At 44.8% G+C, this 25,348-nt stretch overlaps 1 protein-coding gene and 1 long non-coding RNA gene across 15 annotated transcripts in view, besides 4 other annotated features; one reads left to right on the top strand and one right to left on the bottom strand.

The window, feature by feature from the left end:
• The window catches only part of PROX1 (prospero homeobox 1), a 58,360-nt gene extending 41,906 nt beyond the window's left edge, over positions 1–16,454 (bottom strand). For 2 of the 14 annotated variants that reach the window (XM_047425575.1, XM_011509771.2), the window contains exons 1-3: positions 11,122–11,632; positions 10,884–10,989; positions 1,345–3,136 (exon numbers count right to left, since the gene is read on the bottom strand). In XM_047425575.1, coding sequence (XP_047281531.1) covers positions 1,345–3,069 — 1,725 coding nt within the window. In that variant the 5' untranslated portion in view covers positions 3,070–3,136; positions 10,884–10,989; positions 11,122–11,632. Of the gene's footprint in view, positions 1–1,344; positions 3,137–8,630; positions 9,940–10,295; positions 10,403–10,883; positions 11,073–11,121; positions 11,633–16,281 lie in introns of those variants that run through there. The other 12 variants (NM_001270616.2, XM_005273194.3, NM_002763.5 and 9 more) reach the window with 8 other exon arrangements.
• Positions 10,248–10,751: an enhancer, noted in NCBI's record as "H3K4me1 hESC enhancer chr1:214162197-214162700 (GRCh37/hg19 assembly coordinates)". NCBI's record gives its function as "activates a minimal SCP1, AML or CMV promoter by ChIP-STARR-seq in naive and primed H9 embryonic stem cells {active_cell/tissue: H9 hESC(naive and primed)}" and the evidence as "EXISTENCE:reporter gene assay evidence [ECO:0000049][PMID:30033119]".
• Positions 10,752–11,255: an enhancer, noted in NCBI's record as "H3K4me1 hESC enhancer chr1:214161693-214162196 (GRCh37/hg19 assembly coordinates)". NCBI's record gives its function as "activates a minimal SCP1, AML or CMV promoter by ChIP-STARR-seq in naive and primed H9 embryonic stem cells {active_cell/tissue: H9 hESC(naive and primed)}" and the evidence as "EXISTENCE:reporter gene assay evidence [ECO:0000049][PMID:30033119]".
• Positions 13,452–25,348, top strand: part of PROX1-AS1 (PROX1 antisense RNA 1) — a 166,513-nt gene continuing 154,616 nt past the window's right edge. Inside the window, exon 1 of the long non-coding RNA NR_037850.2 lies at positions 13,452–13,536. This is a non-coding gene — a long non-coding RNA (PROX1 antisense RNA 1). The remainder of the gene's footprint in view (positions 13,537–25,348) is intronic.
• Positions 14,780–15,465: an enhancer, noted in NCBI's record as "OCT4-NANOG-H3K4me1 hESC enhancer chr1:214157483-214158168 (GRCh37/hg19 assembly coordinates)". NCBI's record gives its function as "activates a minimal SCP1, AML or CMV promoter by ChIP-STARR-seq in naive H9 embryonic stem cells {active_cell/tissue: H9 hESC(naive)}" and the evidence as "EXISTENCE:reporter gene assay evidence [ECO:0000049][PMID:30033119]".
• Positions 15,466–16,152: an enhancer, noted in NCBI's record as "H3K4me1 hESC enhancer chr1:214156796-214157482 (GRCh37/hg19 assembly coordinates)". NCBI's record gives its function as "activates a minimal SCP1, AML or CMV promoter by ChIP-STARR-seq in naive H9 embryonic stem cells {active_cell/tissue: H9 hESC(naive)}" and the evidence as "EXISTENCE:reporter gene assay evidence [ECO:0000049][PMID:30033119]".

The following is a 25,348-nucleotide window of genomic DNA, read 5'->3' as shown; positions in this document are numbered from 1 at the left end:
TAACTGCCCAAGCAGGACTCATGATTAGGGCCCTAGTAGTTCACCCTATCAGAAATCTACACTATTATCCTGAGAGGTGGCTTGAAGTACGACCTCCACTAACCAGGAAAACATATTTCCACCAATAGCTGGGACTTTGCACTTACGTGGCAGCCTCTGGAGTGGGCTTAGATATGAAAATGTCAATCTCTAGTCATCAAGACAATTGCTCAAAATCCTAAATTTAGTCACAGCCAACTTAATTGCTAAATTTTATATCCATCTGTTTATTATATAAGAAACATGCCTCCACCTGCCCCCAAATGCTACTATTTTACTACTCCCAAAAGACCAACGACCACAAGATTTTTAAAAAATTTACAGAAAGAACCGATATACAGAGAGAAAAAAAAATCTTCAGTTAAAAATAGCTGGAGTTCGGGATAGGCCTAATAAAAAAATATAACTGTTATCTCTACATAAACGTCAGTTTCAGAATTTAAAAGAATCATAAAAAGAGCCATTTTTAAGTCGAATACAGCTGAGTTTTATATTTAATTGTGCTCTCTCGCTTTCCAAAATAATTTGCTTTGTGTATGTTGGGACAAAAGATTTCTGTGTATGGCTGAACAGAGGTTAATCATGCATAGAGGCAGCTGCACCAGACCCAAAGAACAGACCTTGGGTGAACGGGAGAGAGACCGATGCTGTCTGAATAAATCAGTACCTGTATATTTCCTTAAAAAAAAAAGTCTCACTTAAAGATGAAAGAGAGACTAACTCCCCACCCACATCCATTTTTCTTCCTCCTCAACCTCCCACTTGTAAAGCGCTCTTCCTAAGATTTCATCGGGCTGTCTTTAAACGGACCAGAAGCCTTGCAGATGGTTTACACTGAGAATTCTTCTTATGGGATCTTAGGGATCTGAAAACTGACTTTTCTCCTTATTCTATTAAACTTACCATCTTTAAAAAATATCTGAGAGAATTCAATCAGTATTTACAATGAGACTGTTTTCTCATCTCTAAATCTACTTCTTTATTTTTTTTAAGAGATAGGGATAAGAAGATAATGCAGGAAGAACAGCAGAAAAAAAACACTGCTGAGAAAGCACATATTAAATAGGAGCTCCTCAAGGCAGTGAACAACTTGTGGAAGCTGCAAAGATGTTGGCTTAGTTTTAAGCTTTTCTGCAATCAGGAATGGCACACGCATGCTGATAAAAGCCTATTCCTTTGAATAATGGGAAAGGTTGCCTTCTTAAGAAGATACTAATCTACATTACTCTAGATATTGTGTAAACCCAACCTTTTGGGAAACCTTTTTTGGTTTGTTTTTTCCTCGAGGGGAAAATAAAAGGATATTGCACTTCCCGAATAAGGTGATATTTCAGACATATCTTGAAGATCGCCGCACTCGGACTTTATGAGCGACAAGGAGAGCCCTTCGGCGGTGCTGGGCGGGTGTGCTGGTGAACAAGGGTGGTGGCTCAGGTGGTGAGATGACATCTTGGTCCTCAGACTCGTGGTATCCCTAGTTAAGTCTAAGGATTCAGGAGAGGCTCTGTCTTTTCCAGAGAAGGAGCCGGAGGGAGCACCTAATGGGCTCTGAAATGGATAGGCCATCAAGGGAAGGGGGAAGGGGTGGCGGAAGGTGGACGTGGTGAAGCCCGTGGTGGCAGAGAGAGGCGACTGGTGCAGGGGCTGGTGGTGGCCGCCAGCGGCAGGGCCGGAGGCAGACTGGTCAGAGGAGTTTTTGCGGACAACCAGGGGCAGTGCTTCTGTCTGGTCAGTGGAACTGGCCATCTGCACATTGCCAAAGGTGTCCAGGGGGTTCGGAATGATGACGTCGCCAAAGCACTGCAGGCGCTGGTTGGCGGTGTGGAAATTGTGGTTTTCCCCATTGACTGCAAATCTGGCCTGGGGGATCTGGAGAGGTGGGAAGACCTGAGGAACCTGGCGGGAGGGCTTGGCCGAAAAGACTTTGACCACAGTGTCCACAACTTGCGACATGGCAGTGTTCAGTTCCTGTTTCAAGGTCTCAGCCAAATGTTTGCCTTCCGGTTGTAAGGAGTTTGGCCCATGGTCTCTTTCTTTGTTGTTGCCTTCTCGCTTCGGCTTGTTTTCAGCCATTTCCTGCTCTCTGATCAGGGCTCGAGCTCGGTCAATAAACTGTCCTGGGTCTAGCTCGCACATCTCATTATCTGACCTTCCGACAGAGTCCTGGGCCCTGGCATCCAGGATCTCCGAGCGCATGCTGTCTTCAGACAGGTTACCATCTTCATCATTTTCCGAATCAGTGCTGTCATAGATTTGGTAGAACTTTTCCTGCAGCTGGCGCAGCTGTTTCTGCATGTCCTCCAGCTGCTGTTTCAGCTGTCGGCGCTCCTCTCGCTTCTGTTCTTTTCGGGCTGAAACCAGCTGCTGGAAACTCTGTTGCTGCTGCTGGGGAAGCTTTTGCTTGCGTTTGTTTTCTCTGTAACTTTCTCGGGGACTCACAGACTGCGGGGCCATCTCTCTTTCATTTTCATTGCCCCTTAATGCCACACTGGGGGAATGGCTCATACCCCGAATTATATTCTCAACCCGGGCGCGCTTTGCTCTCAGGTGCTCATCACATAAGCGATCCATATCAAACTGGCTCATAGTAGGCCTGCCAAAAGGGGAAAGACACTCTGGGGGGCTGTCTCTTGAAGAGTTGCTGCATATATCCTCCTGATGTACTTCGGAGCCTGTACTAGAGAGACCGCTGGCTTGGAAACTGGGCTCCGTGCCACCATTTTTGTTCATGTTATTTTTCAACAGCTGGGAAATTATGGTTGCTCCTGGAAAAGGCATCATGGCATCTTCATACGAGTTCGCCCTCTTCAGCAGCTTGCGGAGTACATTTGACTTTTCCCCATCTGCATGCTGCACCACTGAATACTCAACATCCTGCTCAGAACCTTGGGGATTCATGGCACTAAAAAACGTTGCTCTTGCCTTAGCAAAAAATGCAGATGCTGTCCCTACCGTCCTTTTCACTCCAATGTCAACTCTTCTCCTCTTGGTTTGCCGGCTTAAGAGGGCTGTGCTGTCATGGTCAGGCATCACTGGACGGTTATTGTGCCATCTTCAAAAGCTCGTCAGCTGGGCACAGCTCAAGAATCCCGGGACCCTGGCCAACAGAACAAAAGGACTGATGAATCATTTTCTTTAAATTTCTCCAAATTTCCTGACCTCAATCCTGAATCAAATGCAAAATGCATAGGCTCTGGGATTTATGGCACATTACAATTATTGCAATTTATTATGCACTCTGCTTGAAATGAAACATTTTTAAATATTTCTGCTCCACTGGTTTAAGATGGATTAAGATTAAAAAAAAATTAAGCAAAAACTGCTTAAGCACCAGTAATATGATTCTCTCTCACAAATGCCTAAAATGATACTGTTTATCTTCAGAAGAAACAGTAGATTATAAGAACACAGCCTCTGACAACCAATTGATTAAATTTTGGGCATTGAGATTCATATTATAAGGAAGATGAAACTGCTCTATACTTAAGAAATAAGGTTAAATTTTGAGACTATGAGAAATTCACATGAAAAATTGCATTTCTGCATTACAATTAGTGTGGTTTTAACGCTATTAAAGGAAAAGGACTCTAAAATAAATGCAAATATATAATAGAGAGCTTTTATTCTTGAATTTTACAATATTTTTGTCATATGTAAAATGGGAAGGAGAACACCCTTAGCAGCAGCATCTTTCAAACATAAATGGTCAGTTTAGCATTGAAATAAATGCACAATAGTCATTTTATAAGTCTGCTTATTTAGCTTAGCTATGCATTTTTTACTTGTAAAATCATAGGTGAAGATGATATCTGTTGATATATCTTAATGTAACTATAAGAATATTTATACATTTTCATAATGTCCTTTTAATGACAAATTATTACAAAGTTGGATTCACTGCAAAACAAGGATGTTACCACATTTTAGAAATCAATATGAGGAATAATAAGTTATTGACCGAGATAAAGATAAATATATCTTCAGGACTAGTTTCCTTCTGTTTAAATCTGCCAAAATAATATGTCCAATGCCCAAAGAAACTCTTTAACATACAGGATTTGTGAACCTTATTTCCTGTGCCAAATTAAAGGAAAAAAAAAAACAGAAAAAACTGAAAGAAGATATATAAAGAAGAAAGAAAATAATGTCCATCAAATGTGTGAGAAAGGGAAATATTTCTTTGTATATGAACTTCCATTGTTTCTTGGAAACACAGTATAAAAAGAGAACATCCTTCTTTGAATTTCATAAAAGGCACTTGACATTGTGTAACTTATTAACTAGTGATGCTAATCCCAAATTTTGTAGACATATAAGATGTCACATCTTTTTGTTTATAATTAACATTTTATGAAGAAAATGAAAATTTTTTTCACGTTGGGTTTATCTAATATTAAACTTCACGTTTGCTTAACAGAGCACATCTTCACAATAACAGGGTCCATTGCCAAAGGCAGCATGCAGAGTGTCTGGAACGGCTCCCATCTCTTTCGGTTCACCTGTAAAAACATCTACGTGCTCCCTAGGACTGCATCTGTGGCTAGCTTTAAAGAATGACTATCCATGCAAATAGGCATAATTTCAGCATGAAATAACCTGTAAAAATCAAGAAAATGCTCAATGCTTAGATGGCAACAATATGTATATTTTTTTAAGTGACAGTGATTTCCTCATGAAATCTTTGCTCCTGGTTTCTATAGAAAGATAAAACATTTTAAAAGAGCCTGCTTTAGGGTATCATGAAAGCAAAATGATACCTCTTTATATATATATATATATATATATATATATATATATATATATATATATATATATTTGCATGCTTGAGAATGAAATACTTTTTGCATGCTTCAGGATAAAATTTCCTGAACTTAGAATGGAGATGGAGTTCTCAAGAACTACAACATTGGGTTCAAAATTGAATTCAGAATGATTGAGACCCTTTCAAACACTAATAATAAAATTGGTTTCAGGAATACAAAAATGCAGTGACAAATACTACACAAACACATTAGATCTGATAAATCAGGTTAGCTGTCAGATGACAGAAAGAACAAGGAGAGGCTGAGACAAGAAAAAGGATGAATCATTTCAAAGCTCTGTTAATCAAAGAAACACTTGCATGGGGGGCGGTTACAAGGAAGACTTTTTTCTGTGTGTATATCACCTTCCCCAAAATAGAGCTTATTGCCCTTATTTTTAAATTTTACATCTTTTCTATTTGTATGCAAATCCTTTTCTCTTGACTATCACCTGCAAAGCACATGGATCTCCAATCAAAATGTCAAACAAACTTTTTGCAGTATTTTTTCTCTCCCTGTTCACCCTAACACCCAAACTGGACTTTCCTCCTGCCATCCTTGCTGTGGGAAGAGCAGCTCTGCCACAGAGGCTTGGAAAGGACAGACTGGTGTCGCTGATGAGCACAAGGTCATCCCCAGGCATCCTTCCTTTTCCAACTGCCATTTACCTCTGCGTCAACTGCACTTCCTCTCATCTAGCCTAGGTATCAACAGCTGCATCCCTGCCCCATGCTGGAGCCAAGAGGAGGGCTGTGCTCTTCCTAAGGTGGAAAGAAATGCTTGTGGAGTCTGTTAAGAACAAGATATAACTCCCTTGATATTCACCAAACTAAACTAATTTTGTAATTCTATTTCAGTCAACATTTTTAGATTAAATAACGATTTGTATCTGTCTTGGGCTAAAAGAATTTAAATACTTTTAGGTCTTGTTGTAAAATGTCCAGCTGGAACATAACAAATAAGACAAAACAAATGGGAAAAATAAGATAAATTATATAATCCAGGACAAGGCATTATATTAATAGGCACAAATAAATATATCTCTCCATATAGCTTAGATTTAATTTAGAAATAAAAGTATAGTGGTAGCACACACTGGAACCATAACCCATGGAAGCTATAGGCATGATTAAATAATAATAACCGGTTGACACAGCACTTTATTAGCATCACATTTCATAAACAAGATATCTATATGAATATATTTACCACATAAGAAAATGTACTGTTACGTTACCATAATATAAATTAAATCTCTTAAAAACATTTCCCAAGTGCTTCCATGATATTCCAGTTCAGAATTTAAAGGAAGCCATGGAATGACTTTATCATTGATATTTTTTAAACTCCTTTATTTCTCAAGATATGTATTAAGCTATCATGTTTCACCTGCAATTATTATTGATGCATATCATATTTGCATTTTAACATTAATTTTCAGTTTCACTAGGCAATATGAAGCTTTTGATCAACACTGGTGGATGTCCAAATCAGCAAGGATGCAGAAAAATACTGATGAGAATTTGAACCCAAATGTATTATTGATCGGATACACTTACTCTATTCCTGTAAACCCCTCTTTAATTAATGTGAAAGTCTATATAGAGTTTTTCATCATTAAATATTTTGTTGCATCACTTCGTATATAACCTACACAAATGCTTTAGTAATTCTTATACAATGCATATCTTAACATAGCAGATTCCTCCCAGAAAAAGATATTAGAAGAATAAACATCCAGGTATAATCAAAACAGGTTTTAACTACTCCAAAAGAGTCTCCTTTAATATCTGAATTATCTGACATTCTCTTTAACATGCAAAATTCTAAGGAAACTGATGACTTAAGGTTAGGAGGAAAGAATTTTCAGTAAAGAATTTCAAAGGAACACTGCAGCGTGAAGTATAAAGTGGTTAAGTGCTCTACTTTAATAAAGAAGTTATTTCGGGGAGGAGGATTCAACTTTTACTGCATCTATCTGGAGTCCAGATTCTGGACAAAGAAGTGTTTCATTACGGTAATTATCCAGATAGTTCAGACAAATCTTTTATGAGGCAGGGAGAGTGTAAGGTTGGCATGGTTTCCTGCTTGGATTATTTAGATGATCTGTCTTTGTTGATAAAATTATTTGAAGAAATTGTGCAAGCCTACACTTGACTTCTTTTAGAAAATCATCTTTGTATGGGCCTCTAATCTACTTGGGTCAACCTGGTTATGAAATTTCAAATAGGATATCATTAACAAAGAATATTTCAAATCAATCTGGAAATTAGTGATTCAAAGGGGAAAAATCAGATGGTCTGATTTAAGTAGCCCCTGAATCATTAAATTGTCCCCTTCACTACATTCAAGAATTTGTTTCTGCTAATTAGCAACTTTTTCTTCAGAGATATTGGAGATATTTCTGCTCCCTATCAGGTTAAGAAAACCTTTGATATTTATTTTGAAGAACTCACTTGACATAAGTTAATACCTAAATTAACTAAGATTGCGTTATCAGGTTTTTAAATTTCCTGTCATAATATACTTCTCAAATCATTTAAGATTTCATTTAAGATTCTCCCATCCCATCAAAAATTCCACACACTTTTCACCTGCAAAATGAACACAGAACATTTTCTGAGACATGCCTAAAATATTAATTTCTACTTGTTTAAAAAGTAACAACTTATCAGATAGGTAAATAAGACAGAGTGTGAAATAATCTTAAGAAAATACACTTTTTTCTTTTTGCAGAAAATTGAACTCTCTAAATGTCCTTTGAGAATGCACAGGCAATAAGTCTGAGAAATTCCTTATGTATATGGTTCCTTTCCAAGTTACACAGGTACTTAATTAAAATCCTATAATGATACATCATGCACAATCTATTTTCATATTATAACATCAGTCACATTTTATAATTTCTTTTGTTAATCTGAAACCTAAAACTTCTTATATTAACACTGCAAATTCAAGACAATCCCTAAAATGATATAAGACATTCATGAAAAGAGGCCTGTTTGAGTTTTAAACAAATAAAGAGGAAGTCTGGCAACTTACAGAATAAGCCAGCTTAGGTTTTAAGATAGCATGTGCTGCTTATAGAGGAATGATGCTAGGAAATGAATAAAGTGAGAACAAAGATGCATGTTATGTATGCATGACTTTTTTTTCCCACAAGGTGGTGATTAAACTAAATAGAATTCTGCATAATGGACACATAAAATATCAATAAGTGCCAAGCACAGATAACCCCTATTAAAAATAAAGCAAATGAACATAGGCATAGATGACATTTTAATTACCAAAGAACTTCAAAAGCATCCAAGGAAAGTATTGGGTGTGTGTGTGTGTGTTTGGGAGGTGGGGGGACGTTAATGTTGAAGTCTACAGAATAAATGACACATACGATCTCATTTTCATGGAAACAATAACTACCCAAACACAAAGCCAATGAGCAAAAACCATTTGCCAACCAACCTATTCCTGTGCAACTCAGTCTACAGAAGTAGTCTGTTTAAAGATAATTTTAAAAGGTCAAGTTTTAAGAAGCCAGATATAGTGCTTACATTGAATTCCCAACAACTTTCCTCACACATCAAGCCACAGTCCTTAGCTTCACCTATTTTACTATTACATATACATGTCCATGTTTTAACCCATGGACAAGTTAATGTGAATACTCTCGTTTTCCTCCCTCAACACACACAAAAAATTTCATTTTGGAAATACTCAGAAGTTCTTGCAAGAAATTCCCTGTAGAACTGACTTCTCACATCTTGCATCAGAATAGAAAAGCACAGTTACCTTCTCATGTACTTGAGATTTTCTTTCTCCATCAAATTCATATCTAGGACATTTGGCACATGTCTGGGACAATGACAGGCTCATTCTACTTTATGAGATTATTTAACATATGACTTGAAAGAGTTTATGTACATACCTATTCTTTCTGGGCAAGGAGAAAGCATGCTTAAAAAGATAAGCTTTAACAACAGTAACACTTTCAAACTGACTTTGGAATTCTTGGCAGTTACACACCACTCATTGCTATCCAAAGCATACACCACACACACACAAACACACACACACACACACACACACACACACACACACACACACGACAGTTCTCTCTCTCTCTCTCTCTCTCTGCCAAGCACAGACCTGGGAGATAGGCATAAACTGGTAGGAAGCAAAGGAAAAGTCAGTCTCCCTCCACCTGCTGCCTAAAGTGGGGGTGCTTTGGGCTGACTGGCAGACAGAAGCCTGGGACACAGCCTCAGCAGTAGACTGCCAATATCCTTAAGAAAAATAAACAAACACATACCAACTTGCCCCCACCCCCCACCCCAAGAACTCACATGGCAGGGCTCAAAAGAACAACAGCCCAATTCCCATTAGCCCAGACAATCCTATTAACCAGGACAACCATAAATTCATAAACCTCTCCAACCCTCGAGCAAGCATTGTGGTCTAGAGCTGTACAGACACACACAGACACAGAGGAAATTTGCACCTGTCTTTCTTGACACAACACACCTGTCAGGCCCTGCCCATGCGCACTCTGCTAATAGATTTCTGCCTACCTAGGTTAGGAAAGGAAATGAGTTCTTTTTTTTTTCTTTTCTTTCTTTTTTTTTTTTTTTTTAAATAAGGGAGGGCATGAGTGGAAAAGAGAACAGGAGAAGGGAGTCTTCTAGCCTTGACTTTGCGAGGAGGCCACCCTGTGCTTCCTCTGTTTTTATAAGCTCAAGGAGACAGCACAGATCTTCTCGGAAAAATAAAAACAAGCAGGTGAGTTTCCAGCCTTCCCCCAGGCAGAGTAGCCTTCTGGGTTGCCAAGAACAGCAGTTTCACACTCCAACCTGCCTCCTTGAGCTATTTAAGACTAAGCACCACCCCTCCTTCTAGTTCTGTTCTCTGTCTGCCTGGAGGGCTCTCAATTTCCCAAGAAGCTGGGAAGGGGCCAGAGACCTGGGAGTCTGTGGAAAGCTACTTACTCCTCCTTTACCATCCCCACGCTCCATCACTCCACCAACCTTCAGCTTCAGCAGGGGGAGTAACGGGCTGGCACACCAGAAGAATCAACAACTTGCTAAACTGGACTTTGGGTGATGTCTCCCCCCGCCCACTGCGTCCCCCTCCTGATCTGCTCAGGCAAGATAGCAGCTCTTCCCTCCCTCTTCCCGCCCTCCTCACTAGTCTTCCCAGTAACAATTACTCTCACCTCTCCTGTCCTCCCTCCCCAGTCCTCCTAACTGGGGCAAAACGGTAGGTACCACCCAGACGAGACCAGACCGAAGCTGCCCAACACCATAGTCTGCCAGCGATGGCTGGGAGATTCATCGCCTCCCATTTCTGCTGCCCAAGAACCCCCTACTCTTACCCGGCCCGCGATCCTCCGGTCCTCCTCGTGCTGGTGTCCCAATCCCACCGCCACGCGACCCCCCGAGCCTCCCGGTGCCGCCTTACCCTACTCAACTTGACCCAGCCCTGGGTCCAGGAGCTCGGAAGAGGGGCGCCGCGCGCGTTTCCCGGGACCCATCACCGCTCCCCTCCAAGCCGGATTTCCACAATTCGGCTTCGACAGCGTTTTGAGACGAAAGTAACAGAGCGCCCCCCCACCTCCCTCTCTCCTCCTCCCAGTTCCCGGTCCTCTGCTGGGGTTAAAAAAGGAGAAGTGAAAGGTATGCAAATGACAAGCAAATTGGAAGAGCCGGGAAGAAAGGCAGCTATAATAAACAAGACAAAGAGAAAGGACAAGGGGACCGGCCCCGGAGTTTTAGCCTGGGGAGATCGGAAGGATGGGGTTTGGCGGAAAGCGGGGATCTCCACGAACAAAAAAGCGACCCGGTCCCTCTCGCGGTCCTCTCTCCTGAGAAGAGAGAGCAGGAGAAAGAAGGAAAGGGAGCAAACGCCTCCTCACACCCCAGAAACAGTACACAAAAGGTGACAAGATCAGCGACAAGTCCAGCAACATCAGCCTCCCCCCCATCGCCACCGCCACCCCCAGCCACCAGCAGGAAAGAGAAAGAAATAAAAGCCAAGAGGATCACTTACTCTTAGGAACTGGGAGGAGCGGAGCGCTGAGTTCCACGGAGGCTCCCGCTTAGAAACTGTTTAGAGGCTATTTTATTATGATTCATTTGAATAACACCATTTTCTCCTGGGGGGAATAATGTTTACACGGGTCTGAGTAATGGGAGGCTCTTTTCTTCCTTTCTCATTCAAGAACAAGACAGTGCAAGTGATTCTGGAAAAGGGGAGGGACTCACGAGGGGAAGAAGAAGATACTTACGCGGTGCAGGGAGCAGTGGGACCGAGCCTCTCTCTCTCTCTCTCTCTCTCTCTCTCTATCTCTCTCTCTCTCTTTTTTTTCCCCCGGCAGAGAGAGGAAAACACGCGAGTGCACACACGGTGATATCTTGCGGGTGATGAATATGATAATTGGACAAGGGACGGTGAGTCTGTGCGACAGCGAGCGAGCGAGCGGGGCGAGTGGGAGAGGGAGAGGGGAGAGAGAGGCGGGAGGGGAGGGGAGACGAGAGAAGAGGAGCAGGGGAGAGGCGAGGAGAGGGAAGAAGAGGAGAAGAAAAGAAGAGGAGCTAAGGGAAGAGGAGAGAGCAGGAGAGGAGGAGAGAGAAGAGCGGGAGGAGAGGAGAGAGCAGCAGAGGAGGAGAGAGGAGAAGGGTAAAGAAGAGAAGAGGAGCGAAGCGGAGAGGGAGCAGGCGGACCCGGCGAGAGCTCTTTTGCGCCGCTCTGCTTTCCCCGGCTGCAATGGTGTATTATTTCAGAGCGCTCCCTCAGCTGAGGGCTCCGCTCCACAACAAGATTTACTTTAAGACACAGCTGAAGGAAACAGGAAGACTGCACGTCACAGTCTATCTGACGTACCCGGCCCCAGCACCCAATCGCGAGGCGCCTTCGGATTCAAGGGGGGATAGCAAGGCAAGAGAACTTGGGAGGAAAAAAAAATATAAAAGGGGTGGGGGTGAGGGGCTGGGAAGAGAGGAGGGGAGAGGGGCCCTGCGCTCCCCCTCCCCGGCCTCCATCCCCGGCCCCCACCCCCACCCCCACCCTGCCACAGCTTCGGGACGACTGGATCGCCGCGCCTGGGCCGGAGCGAGCCATCTGCGGGCACTATGCAAAGCGGGAGACGGCGCGAGCGGCGCCCGGCTCACACTAGCTCTTCCAGGACGCAGGTCTTTTTTTTTTTTTTTCTTTTTCTTTTTTCATTTCCCAGATACAGCTGATCGAGTTCGCCGAGTGGCCGAGCGAGTGAGCGCTCCTCCGACTTGGGTGGAGGAAGGCACGGAAAAGTATACGGGAGAAAAAGTGGGGGTTTTAGGGGTGGGGGTGGCATAGGAGGAGGGAGGGGGGGATCTGCAAATCATTCCACTTTTTAAACGATCATAGGTAGTGTCAAGGATACGTGTCACCCTTGGTTCCTTTTAAAGGGGAGGTGGACAATAAAATACAGGTAGGTTTGGTATTAAAATAATAGGTGCCAGAGGTTTCACATCGGGTCCGCTGCATCTGTTATTAGACGAAGATCAACATTGGCTGAGTCCCAGTTTATCTCCAGTCCAAATTATCAGGAAGAGGAATATTTACCCTTGGTTACCTCTGACATTAGTTGGATTGTAGGTAAAGCAGCCTTTAAAAATATATATGTTGCAAACATCTGGCGATTACCCTTCACTAATTCACTCGCCCCAGAAAGACCAAAGATAGCTGTTCAATACAGGATTTACACAGTTTTGACGCCTGGGCAACAAACTTTAAAGTTTATTAGGCAAGAAATTTCAAACGCATAAATCGCAGGCTCTAAAATAAAGCCCTAGAAAATTTACTTTGGTTTGACATTTCTTGCTTGAAAAATAACCAGCAAAATTTCTTTAGATAATGTGGCTCTTAAAGATCTCCTTGGGCTTTGCAAGTTACAAATGCAAGCGAGCCTCAGCCGCAGCTAGAACGTCCCTTTCACCGGGCACAGTAAACGGCTTTTAATAAAGCAGCCGCGTTTATGACCTAAAGATCCTATAAAAGCTGGGACTTGCAAGAGCTGCGAAGCAGAAACATTCATACATAGTCTATTAGACACTCATTTTTGTAAGTAGGAGGAGGACAAGTAGTCTTCGTGTGTCCCTCAAATTTAATCAGATCAAAGGTTGAATCATGCTGTGTCGTGACAACAGGGTATTTATGAGGTGTGTTACAAGTACACTGGCCAAACACTACCAATGTCTTCTGCGACACACACACACACACACTCCTTCCTAGGGAATTTACAATTTCAGCCTCAAATTCACCAAACCGTAAAGAGGATATTAAGCCCTCCCTTTGAATAAGAATAGCGATGTTAGTATGTCCGAGTCTATCCCGGCAGGAAACTTTTGGCACGAATTTCAAACAGTGAAAAGGAGAAAAAAAATTAGGTCGGTCAGGTTAGGTGTCGGCGATAAGAAAAGAGATTGCGGGAGCATCCCCAGCCTTCTTCTTTCCCCTTTTGCCGCCCCCACACACTCCCCCCACGCGTCTATCACGGAAGCAACACAGAGGAGCGCACACGCACCACTCACACCTCCAACTATTGACTGTTGTATCAGGTGTTCTAACCGGGATGTGACAGTTGAGGCTGGGAGCAGAAATAATCAACATGCCCATTAGATACAGGACGGAATAATGCTTCTATTGGTTGGGTCCCTTCGAGGTAAGCGGGTGTATTGAGCGGGGAAACTTGGGATCTGAGAATGGATCAAAGCTACTTTCTTTCTTATTTTTCGTCCTACTAGTTTTCTTTAAGAATCTTGGTTTGTACATATAAGTTAGCGCCAGCCCACAAATAAACTGGTAGGAGTAAGGGCTATATACCTTTCCACACCTTAAAACCATCTGCTCAGTTTGACATTTAAAAGGGCGGAGAGCAGAGAAGGAGGAGGGGGGAGTAGGGGGAAGAAAGGAGTCAGGGACAGAGAAAAAGATTCAAACGCGAAAAAAATGGCTTGCACTTTAGCCCACAAGTTTGTGTCAATTGCACATAGCGCTTGAATGCACGTTTTGCACACACCACGCCCGGGAACTGGCGGCGGGAAAAGTTCCCTGAGAACCCCAGTAAGTCCTGTGTCACGCCGTGGGCAAAAGCAGGCCTGAGTCGAAGTCGGGGTAACCCGCTTGCCGAACAAGGAAGCTCTCCCACCCCCAGCCTCGGCGGCAGAGGCTCCCGGCTCGCGACGCTCTGCCGCGGCGGTTCGCAGCCCGCATTAGGGCGCAGGAGCGGCGACTTGAAATAGGAGCGCGCGCCACGCTAGGCGAGCGAGATCGGTTCGCAGCCCAGCTCCGTGAGCTGCCTCGGCGCAGCCCTGTCCCGTGTCCTGTCCTCTACTGTCGGGGAGGCGTACAGGCCAGGCTCCTGGCAACCTCTCTTGCTAGAGCTGCGGCATTCTCCTGGGTCTCGGGCTGCCCTGGACAAGACTTGAGGCCCGAGCCCCCTATCTCGGGCGACTCCCGCTTTGTTTTCTGATAGGGGAGAAGCCTGGAGACAAGGAGTCGCCTAGATATTGGCTCCATCTCTGAAACCAGCCGCCAAGCCTAGGGTTAAGACAACTCCTCCCTCCGCCCCACTTCCAACACAACCCCAGTAACTTAGAAGTTAACGCAAGTTCTGACCGGTCTTGTAACACACTCTATCCGTGCAGGTTGCATTTACTTATTTATCTGAAGGGTGATCTGTGTGTTCTTAGACAAACTCGCAGTTATCACCCATGCATCTGGTTCTGGGTTAAATACACTTCGCCTTGACATTTGCTCGGTGTATGCTCACGCCTCCTGTTCTTTCTTAAAGCTGTTAGGTGGGGGCAGGAGGGAAGACAGTGTGTATAAGTAATTTAAAACCTTACAAACAACTGTTATCAGATCCTAAACAAACCAATTCTGAGAATTACAACCAGATTCAGTTGAGAGGCAAAAGTGGACGTGGATTTTGGAAAAGGGTGCCTAAGGACTTCCAGGTCAGCCACCCACCGCTACCACCACCACCACCGCCACCACTACCACCATCACTATCAGCACCCTGAAGAAGGGAAGAGAGGAAAACCAACCCCAGGGTGCAGGCCTGCCTGCTGCAAGCTTTCTAGAGGCAAAACTGACTGACGGCCTCTCACTCTCATCTCCTGTGCTCAGTGTGACGCCAAGCCCAACCTGGATTTGTTCTGAATGGGGGGGAAGTGAAATGCCACAAGATCAGTAGCAAGTAGCAGCTGCAGCGTTTTCTCTCCTGGGAACCCCACTGCTTAGAAGCCTCCTGAGTGATGTTTGTTTAACCAACAGCTTTCAAAGTAAACAGAAGCCAATCACTCCAAAGAAGTTGAAATATAACCCTTACAAGAATTTGGATCCAGGGGTGCTGGCAGAAAGAAAGTAATTTTTAAAATGATAAAGAACCCACTCCCAAATAAGAGTCTGCCACATTGCTTTAAGGAGCGCAGAATTGTCATGAAAATATAATTTCATCGAAAGGGCTAATTACAATAAGTTGACCTCGAAGAAAATCACTCTTCGCCCACAAAGACACACCCGCGGGGATGAGGAGGTTGTCAGTGATTGAAGGGACACACTACTACTTGATTTTATGGAAGTGGGCGAAAACAATCAAAGGGAAGTACATTCCCTGCCCTGGAGTAGTGAAGTGTAGGCTGGGAGCTCTTCGCCGCCAACCCTGGCTTTGCCTCAGGCACCGAACTTTCCAATACCAAGATATTAACAGATGGTGGTGAGCACATGGAGGGCTGCTACTTACATAATCTAGCCACTCCGCCCGGCTGCCCAGAGCCCGGCGAGGAACCGGCCAGGCCGCGCGCGCGCCTTCCGAGGGGTGCTCCCTGACATAACTTGCCTTTCTCCAACCCCACCCATCGTTTTGAGGGTTAGCATTTGGAGAGGCCGTGATTTAAAAAAACCAAACAAAAACAAAAACACCCAAAACATTGATTTGGCTGTGCTTTGTCTTCTTCAGTCCATAGTAGCGAAGAAGCTGGAAACCCAAAGGCTGAGAGAAACGGAGGGGATGCCTTCGGCGAGAAAGGGGTGCTCTCCCTACGTATCTGGGGGTTCCCGCGAGTGGAATTTACACAATTTACAACACTCTTGCCCACCATCTTTGGTTCAAATCCACATATCTTTTGCTGTCGCTTAAGTACAAAGGCAGTCTCGGGCCGCAACTCAAGGGGAGTGAGATGGGGTGAGGGTGTGAGTGTGAAGGGGACACCTTTGCACGCGGGGGCGCAGTGGGCAAAGTTACGCAAAGCCTCTGGGCACCGCTACACTTCCAAGCTGTGGCAGGGTTTTAAGCGCTCGATCCCGCTCGCAGGGAGTCCCTTTCGGATGTGTGGCCGCCTGCTGCCTTCACGCCCTCAGCCGCCTCCCAAGAGGCCCTGTCCCTCCTGGTGTGCCTGTGTACCTCCTCCAGTGTGCCAGGGCACGTGTGCTTCCCGAGCCTCCTCCCTGACTGCGACTCGGGACCGCCGAATCCTGCGAGGAATACGCCTGCGTGTGTTGGAAAAGTTTCGGGTTGGGCAGGAAGGCTGGGAATCTCCTCTCCAGGCACTCGGCAGGAGCGGGGCTTCCTCGCCCGCGGCTTCCTCCCAGTGCCCTCCTCCCTCCCCGGCCCGCCCTTCCTAGCCTCGGCCCCGCGCTAGGTGTCGCGGCCTCTCCGGCCAGAGAGAGCGAGCGCCAGATGCTGCGGCTGCCGCGGCGCCGCGCTCCGCAGAGGGCGCGCCCCTCCTGCCTGCGCGGCCAAGTGGGGGTCCAGGCCGCCCTGCTGGTCCCTCCTCGCTCTGGCCCCGCGGCACTTGCCTCTTCCCGGGCCATCGCAGGGGCTGCAGCCTCGCTCAGCTAGCCTGGGCTCAGTACACGCCCTGGACGCAGAGGGCAACCACCTGCTCCCGGCGCGCCGCAGAGCCGGGGAACGTCGTGGTGGCCGGGGGATTTCGGCCGCCGCCAGGCCTGCGCTGCCCCCGCGGCCTCTCCTCCCCCGCCGCCCGCCTGTTGCTGTGGGGACAGCCGGTGGACGCGCTCGACCTGGGAGGGGGGACTCCCTCCCGGGACCGCGGGAGGGGCGTGCACGTTTGAAGGGATGGAAATCTCCCTTTCTGCCCACCCCCTTTCTTTTGTCAATTACTCTAAGGATGTTTGGCCGTTACTCCCAGCTTCCCTCTCTTTGGTCTTTCACGTCAAGGATGTGAATTCGGGGGTGCTCCATTTTCAGGGGCTTTGGTGATAGGACTGAAGTTTTCCATATTGTCCATCTTACCAGAAGCTTTTATTCAGGGTGAGGAGTGGGCTAGAAATAAGTAGGTGCCTGCCTGACGCAGCGAAAAGAGAAGGACGCTCCCAGTTTGGATGCATTTGGAGAGAGTAACTGGAAAGTTGCATTTTGTTTAAATTAGAGCAAGATGAAGTTGAAAGCCAGATTTCTATATTTTTTCTGGTAATATTTCTTTTATGAAGTATCTAAGTGTCTGTTTGTCATCATTTTGAGATCAAAAGGAAAATCCATATGCTGTATAGTTTTTCGAAATTGCTATTTAAATATGTTTTAAATGTTTTGTCCAACGTGGAGTAGGCTGCTTGGAGGCAAGGCTGGTGACAGGAATAGCGGGATGGTTTGATGTGGAGTGGTGCTTCCGAAGACCTGACGAATCATCGGAATCACCGAAGGGGTGTTTTGTTGTTGTTGTTGTTGTTGTTGTTGTTGTTTTAAATAAAGATTTCTGGGCCCACCCCAGTGAGGTAATCAGAAGAAGGACCTGGGAATCTGGGGGTCACCCTGTGTCTTTAATTACTGCTCAGCTGGTTTGTTACTGACTCTGTGACCTTCAGTGTGTTACTTAATCTGTTTGAGACTCAGTTCTTTTTATCTGTGAAGTGGGGATAATATCCAAATCATAGATTTATTGAGAGACTTCTACACGACTAAACTTGTTCAGCACATGACTAGTGCTCAATACTTGGAAGGTATGTTGCCCACAAATGAGTGCTGTGTACACTCGAGCTGACATGTATTCTTATAAGGACCTGTCCCTATCCCCAACGTTTTGGTGAAGCCAGCTGGACTGTCATGGGATATGTATGTGTATGCACATTTTAGCTCATGCATAGTTGTCACCTTTACATGCTTTCCCCTCCCCCGTCTTTTAGGCCATAAAATAAATCAGAATTGGCACATTTGGAAGCTAGGCCCTGTGCTTTTGGACCTAGAACTGTCCATCAGGCCTACTGGCAAAGGGGGGAATTTACCAATCTGAAGTCTACTTCCTCCTCCACCCCACCCCCACCTTTTTTTGGCCCGTTCACCCTCCCTGTTTTATAGATGGCAAGCATCTCCTAAAGAAACCGCTGGTCAGACCAATGAAACCACAGGACAAAGAGTTCTCTTCAAAAGGGAACAACAAGAAGGAGAGAAAAAAAAAAAAGACAACATTCCTAGGTAAAACAAAAGCAAATGTAGATCATATGTTATATGTTTTTACATGTTTGACTCAATAACCTCCCCCAAATCCATGTAAATTAAAATATAAACTTTCATAAAGTTATGTTCAAACCAATGAATAGAAGCATACCCCAAGGTGATTAGGGGACAGACAGCCAAGGACAGCTGTGAGAAGGGAAAGGAAGCTGGGCAGGAAGGTGCCATGCTCGGCTGTGACTGCAGAAGTGGGGGGAAGAAAGCCAAGGAAATGGAACGGGCTGAAGCAGCAGACAACAGCTCAAGAGGGCTGACAGTTTTTCAACTGCAGAGGCCTGTGAGCAGCTTATTAAACATCCCGAGAAAGGTGTTTTGCTGGTACCCTCAAAAGGCTTGAGATAAAGTAATCGTAGATTCCCGGGGGCGGGGGGAGTAAAGAAGGGATTGCCAGCGTGGGGTGTCGGTGGGCCCAGCCCCTAGTGAATGGACCCCAGGGGTCGGGGTGAAGGCACTGCACTCTCTGAATGAGGGAAAGAGGAAGCATCACCCCTAGATGCCTGTCCTCCTGGTGTCCGTGGTCTTTGGGCAAGCGTGGAAGGTTCCTGCTCTCTGGCTACTTTCTCTGTCCCTGTTTCCTAGGTGGAAAAAGTCCGTAACTTTAGGGGACAAAAACAAAGGGCGCCCCCCAAAAACTAGAGAGAAACATATTTGGGGTCAAACTGTACAAAAATGGATGGCAACTTCTGGCTTCTCCTCCCCAAGCACCCTCCTAGTGGAAAGAGCTCTATTCCCTACACTTGTAGGTGGACAGGGGGCAAAGGCCGAGAGGCAAAGGGTGTTGGTGGGTGAGTTGGGGGAGAACGGGATGGGGAGGGCTGGGGGAAGTGTGTCTGCAGAGTGTGAATGGGCGGGACAGGGGTAGTGTGTAGCTGTGTGTGTGTGGGAGGGGCAAGGGAGTGGAGTTGGGGGAGCGAGTGTGGGTGGGCTCTGTCGGGGGAACTTCGAACTGGGGGCGCGGGGGAGGTGGGTGGAGGGGAGTTGGGTGGGCGAAGAGCGCCAGTTTCCCCGGAGGAGGCCCGGGAAACAGGCGGGGAGGGGGCGTGTGGAAGCGTCGTTTGAAGGGCGGAGGGGCAGGCCGGAGAAAAGGCCAGGCGGGAGGCTAAATCTGGCAGGGGCTCCAGCCCGGCGAAGGCCGACGCGTCTCGGCTTCCTCTCGCCTAGACTTTTGAAGCGGCTGGCTCGCTAATCCCGGGTTGGCTGAAAGACTTGGACCCGCAGCCTCGGGGGCCCTGCGTCCCGGACTATCTCCCGGGGGGCGCTATGGGTAGGGAAGCGGGGCTGCCTTGACTCTCAGTGCGGGTCCCCGGCGCCCTCTCAGCCTACTGGGGGTGCGGGCTGCGCCTCGGTGTGTGCCCCCCTTCAGCGCCTCGACAGCGCCCCTCACGCTAGCTTCCTACTTCCTCCCAGCTCCATCTTCCTCCGTCCCCTCCCTAGGCCCTGCTGCTCCTTTCACTCCTCTGGGTCCCTGTTCCCTGCCCCACCGTCCTTTTCCCACCACCATCAGGCGAGTTCATCCCCTTCTCTCTCCATTGCTAATCTTCTGATGGCGGTGCTGGGGAGAGCGGGAGGGGGTGCTTAACCCAAAGTGGACTCAAAGAAAACAGAATAATTCAATTCATCGGATAATTACTGTTTGCAAGACACTGCTAAGCACGACAGTTGGTGACCCTTTGAGGGAGCAGAGTGGACCGAAGGATTTTGGTTCTGACCCAATATGGGCAGTTATGATCGGTGTTTGATTTAGGCAGATCTCGGAAACCTCAATTAGAAACTCTAGTCTAGAAGGATCTGGACGAGGGGCAAAAGTGTCAACACCTTCTTCTCTCCTATTCCAAAGTGATCTTTCCGTGGGAATGCGGCAAGGAGTCAGCAGGCATAGTGAAAATGGGCGGCGATGGATACTCCCAGCACTTGCTGAGCACTGCTACGCCTCAGGACTGGGACAGGTGCTTTACACCCCAAAATTCCCGTTTCTTGATTCCAAAATGTCGTAGATTATAAGACACACCATTTAAAGATGGCCTTTAGGAGAAAAGGAAAATACGAGGATCTTAAATGCACAATGGATTGTGAGACACTGATTTTAGGAACATAAGATATGAGAAAAAGTGAATCTTAGAAGTGAGGAAATAAAGTATAGTATGCGTAATTCTCCCAACAGCCAAGAGATGAATTATCGCCATGTTTGAATGAGGGAACTGAGACTGGGGAAGGCTTCACCACTTGCTCAAGGCCGCAAGGCCAGTAAGTGGCACAGCCAGAATTGGAATCCGGGTCTGCCTGTAGTCTGAGCTAGAGCAATTTCGCTTAGGGCAGTAGCTTCTGCAGGGATTGGGCTGTGTCAGCCCTTTTCCATAACCCTGTTTTTGTCTTGACCCTTTTACCATCAACACCTGCCCCCACACCCCAAGCTATGGCTATTGGGGGGAAGATAGGAAATAAATTACATTTTTCACATTCAAAATAAAGTATTTAAAGGGTAAAAATCATGTATGCCAGGTTTACTGTGCACCACAGGAAGTCGATGAATTCAAGGATCCCTGTATTGCTGAAAATAGAATTGTAAAAAATAAAAGGGGTGGGGGGAGAAAGTGAACGAAACTAATCCTATTAAACGTGGTAGCATGTTTTTGTGGCACGCAGGGAGAGATTAAGCACAGGAAAGGGGATAAGTACTGCTTCAGTTTCACTAAACTAATGTGACAACTTGTCATTGGAGATCTTTACAGCTTGTTAGTAGATGACTAGCTGATTCAGAAGTGTTTTCTATCATTCCCTTTGTGTCCCCATGAGTTTTTGTAAAAAAATTTTCTTTCTTTTCCTGTTTCTTTCTTACTCATGCTGCTCTATTTTGCTTTATAATCCTCAGTGTCTCCTTCAAGTCAAAACATTTAGCTGGCTCTAATCAAGATTTGGTTTTGAAAATGCCCCTTGACCTGGGGTAGCCCAGAGAAGCCCTTGTTCTTCATACTCAGCCCCGGAACGGTCCTGTGGCTTGAGAAACTGAGCTTCTGGGAGAAAAGCTCCCTTTTTGGATTTCACTTTTCTGCCGTCCTTCTCCTTTGCCCTCCTCCCTTTTCTTTATTTTTTGTTCTATCCTTTTATTCTTTTCTTTTTGCCTTTAATTTCTATTCCTCTATTCTCTTTTCCCCTTTCTTTATTTTTCTCTCCAATTTTCCTCTTCTCACTTACTTTCCTTCCATCTTCTCTTCCTTAGAATTCCTTTCTCTTCTTTCATGCATTCCAATAACTGTTTTCCCTTTTCTTCAGATAAGACAGTTACATTCATAGAGAAAAGCTATGAATTTTTGATGGTTTCTAAGTTGAAGTAGCTCCCAGTGAAGGGGGCAGTGGTGAGGGGAGGGGCAGGGAGCCCATCACAGACCCGCAGGGAACAAAAGGCTGATCAAAGTGAAGAGGAAGCCAGAAGTCTAGGCTTGGTCACTGTCTTTCCAAAGCAGGTGTCTAGCTTGTTTGGAAACCTGGCTGACCGTCCCGCTCTTTTGCTTTGGCATCACTCTCTCCCACTTTCCCCCTCCCCCGCTGCAACTTTCCTCACTGGCTTACCACCAGGCGAGATGTTGAGTCAATGGAAAAACAACATTCGCCAACATTAAAGGGAGACTGTTTAGAAAAGGAAGGCCCTGCTGAGGTGCAGAGGAAGCCTGTGCATTAACACGGGCCACCTCTTATCTGGGGCAGCTGGGCCTGAGCTGCCTGTACTCATTCCCTGGCTTTGCCAAGGGGCCTTGGGGAGTGCGGGGTGGATTCTCACCCACGGGCATCACCAGACCTTTTAGAGACAAAAAGCAAGTGCTTTTTTTTTTTTTTCTCCCAGGGACTTAACTGGAAAACCTTTACACATAAACACTGTTTTGCAAAAGGCACATTTCTCTAAGCCTCTGTCTCTGGACACTTGTCACGTGGACCTGGCCCCTCTCATTTTCGGTGCTCTTGAGGACTCCCACGCCTTGTAAGGACTGGCCATTCTGTCCTGAATGTGAATTATGGGGAGGGGCAAGCTAAAGTGACCCAAAGGAAAAGAAGAAAAAGGCATGTGTGTAGGTTCACCCTGGCTCTAAATTGCTTACCGTTAAGTCTTGAGCCAGCTCCTGACGGAAAGATAAGGTAAATCCCTAATCAGTCAATAATTAACCATAGCTCCATTAACGATCCAGTCAGCCAAATCCTGCTGACACCTTTAGAACCCTGCTTTGGTGGGAAGGATTAGGCAGAATCTTTCAACAGAAAGGCCCATCTATTCAGACTGCCATAGACCCCACTCATGGGTCATCACAAAAGGAGTAAAGTTATGCCTGTGTCTGCCAGTGAAGTCCTTTCTGGGGTTAACTCTGTAGGATAACTTCTGGAAATTTCACTTTTGGAAATCTCAGCGTGTGTGTCTGTGTGTGTGTGTGTGTGTGTGTGTGTGTATACACAGAACAGCTTGGAGATCCAATCTGGTTCCAGGTTGGTTTGAATCAAATCCCAGATGTGCTCTGATTGTTGTTACATTATTCTTCTGAGAGGATCATATTTTCTCTCCCTTGACCATGTTAGTTTGTAGTTTATTCCCAGCATCTCTAAATATTCTGGTTCCTTGTTTCTCAATGTTAGTTCTTCTTCGATTCGTGATAAAAGGAGAAGTGCTTTTGAAATGATAAACAACCGCACATTCCTATCAAAGCATGAAAATTATTTTTGAATTTCAAATAAGTAGAAAATTAAAAGACTAATAAATATTTGATTTTGGTACTTCTGGTGGATCTTTTTTCTTTTCCTTTTCTTTCTTTTTTTTTTTTTTTAACTTCTTACAGAAGCACATGTTTACGAAGGTGGGCTTAGATCTTTTTTTTTTTTTAATTTAAATTGTGGGCTTTTGGTTTGCTTTGCTTTGTTGTTCTAGACAGCATTTAGTATGTTACCAGATGCATGTAGTTATAGATATTATACCATTAGATGAGAAAAATCTGTATAATCAGTGTGGTTTAAGTGTTTCCTAAGGTCAAGTTGTAGGTCATGACCCTATGACAATCAATGAACTTTGCTCCTAATCTTATGTTTAAATCACTTGAAAAAGACATTCTTTTAGAAAGAGAAATAGAGTACAAGAGTGTGGTATGATATGAATCCATCTCTATCCCAGGACTAAAGAACAAAGATCGTTTGGCTGTGGGGGCACTCTTCCTGCATGTGGAAGATGGTTCATTCAGCTATACTTCTGTTGGTTCCACATCTCAGCCTCTGTAATCACCAACACACTGTTGTTCTCCTCTCCTCATAGAACCCAGTAGTCTGGGTGTTCAATTAATCTTTGGCTGCTTCGGGGAGTTGCCAATGAGTGGAAATTCTGCCAATGATCTGTGACACCCTTTTCAACAAACATTAATTGAATGACATTTCTTTTTTCCCCAAATCATCCATCTGTCCTTTCTTATGCAACTTTTGAGTTTCAAAGGGTAGAAGGCAAGATTTCTTTTGGTCACACATGTGGCCTAAGAAGACAGTCTATGTATTGAACACTATAATCTACTGTAGACTTGTAAATAAATCTAAATATTCACCAGTCTGAACCAACATGCTAAATATAAAATGAATTCATTCAGCCTTCTTTTCCATCTGCCCATGAAAACATCTTGCTTTTGTGAAGGCCTTTGGAAAATGTAAGATCCAAGGCTTCTGTATGCTTTTTAATTGTTTAGGGGCACAAATGGGAGTGGAAAAGTAAGGTGAAGGCAGGAAGAACATTTTCAAAATTCATAGGTTAAAAAATATAAGATCCAGTTTTTTTTAGTTTATACATAATTTTTAAAATTGTCTTAAAGTACCAAAAAGCATCTCACTTATAATAGTGCTGTTTAGTAAAGCAGAGAACATACATCAAGTTGTCTTTGAAGTCCCATTGCTTGGATATTAAAAAGAAATTTAAAAAAATTGAACTGGTATCTATTTTTCAGTAGGTCAAAAGGCATGTATAATTACACTCATGATTTTTGAGTATCATGCTAATGAGGCTAGGAAAATGTAGACCTTGACATTGCCTTGTTTAGTTACATTCACTATGAAAAAAAGAATATTGTTTACCCCTCAGGAGTTTTCTTAAGGAAAAGAAAAATCAATCTCTATCAATGAGCAATATTTTTCTCCCCAAGGGATATTGATCTGAACATTGACTTCACAATGGGTGAGTTATTTTCCTCAGACTCCCTACTATGAATTGTTAGGTGACATGTCTTTTGTGAGCCAATAAACATGTTGTGTCTAGTGTAGTAATCTCATCTGGGAGATGACAATTTCTGTAGAGTGGTTAGTTTGTAGTATTTCACCTTTTGTATGTCTGTGTTACATATTCCCGAGAAGTATATTTCAAGTTTAAAAAGCATTACCTCTCATATTCTTCTTAGGAGAACAGTTGGCAGTGAACAGTTTCTTTCCTACATGCTCCTCAACTGCATGTCCTCTAGGCTTGTGCATAGACCCATGACTCATGAATAGTCTTATAAATGTCTTCATGATTCCCTTTTCTCCCTTTATGCAATGGTACAATTTGGCATCTTTAATTTTGAAAATAAAACAAATATTCAATTTACCAGATAAACCATTCTTTAAAGGAACACTGTAATGGGTGGAGATAAGGGAAAGGATAAGGACTCTAGAATTCTTGTTAATGGGCATGATCATACTCTATCTGTTGGATTCATGTATAGTATATTTTCTTTGTATATGTAATCTTGTAATGTTTTCGTCTATAATATGTAATCCCAGCACTTTGGGAGGCTGAGGTGGGTGGGTCACTTGAGGCCAGGAGTTCGAGACCAGCCTGGCCAACATGGTAAAACCCTGTCTCTACTAAAAATACAAAAAAATTAGCCTGGCGTAGTGGTGCACACCTATAGTCCCAGCTACTCAGGAGGCTGAAGCAGAAGAATTGCTTGAACTTGGGAGGCAGAGGTTGCAGTGAGCTGAGATCATGCCACTGCACTCCAGCCACTGCACTCCA

This window comes from Homo sapiens, chromosome 1, assembly GCF_000001405.40.
Source record: "Homo sapiens chromosome 1, GRCh38.p14 Primary Assembly".
In the NCBI taxonomy this organism is placed as follows: domain Eukaryota; kingdom Metazoa; phylum Chordata; class Mammalia; order Primates; family Hominidae; genus Homo; species Homo sapiens.
This window is presented reverse-complemented; position numbering and strand designations above follow the sequence as displayed.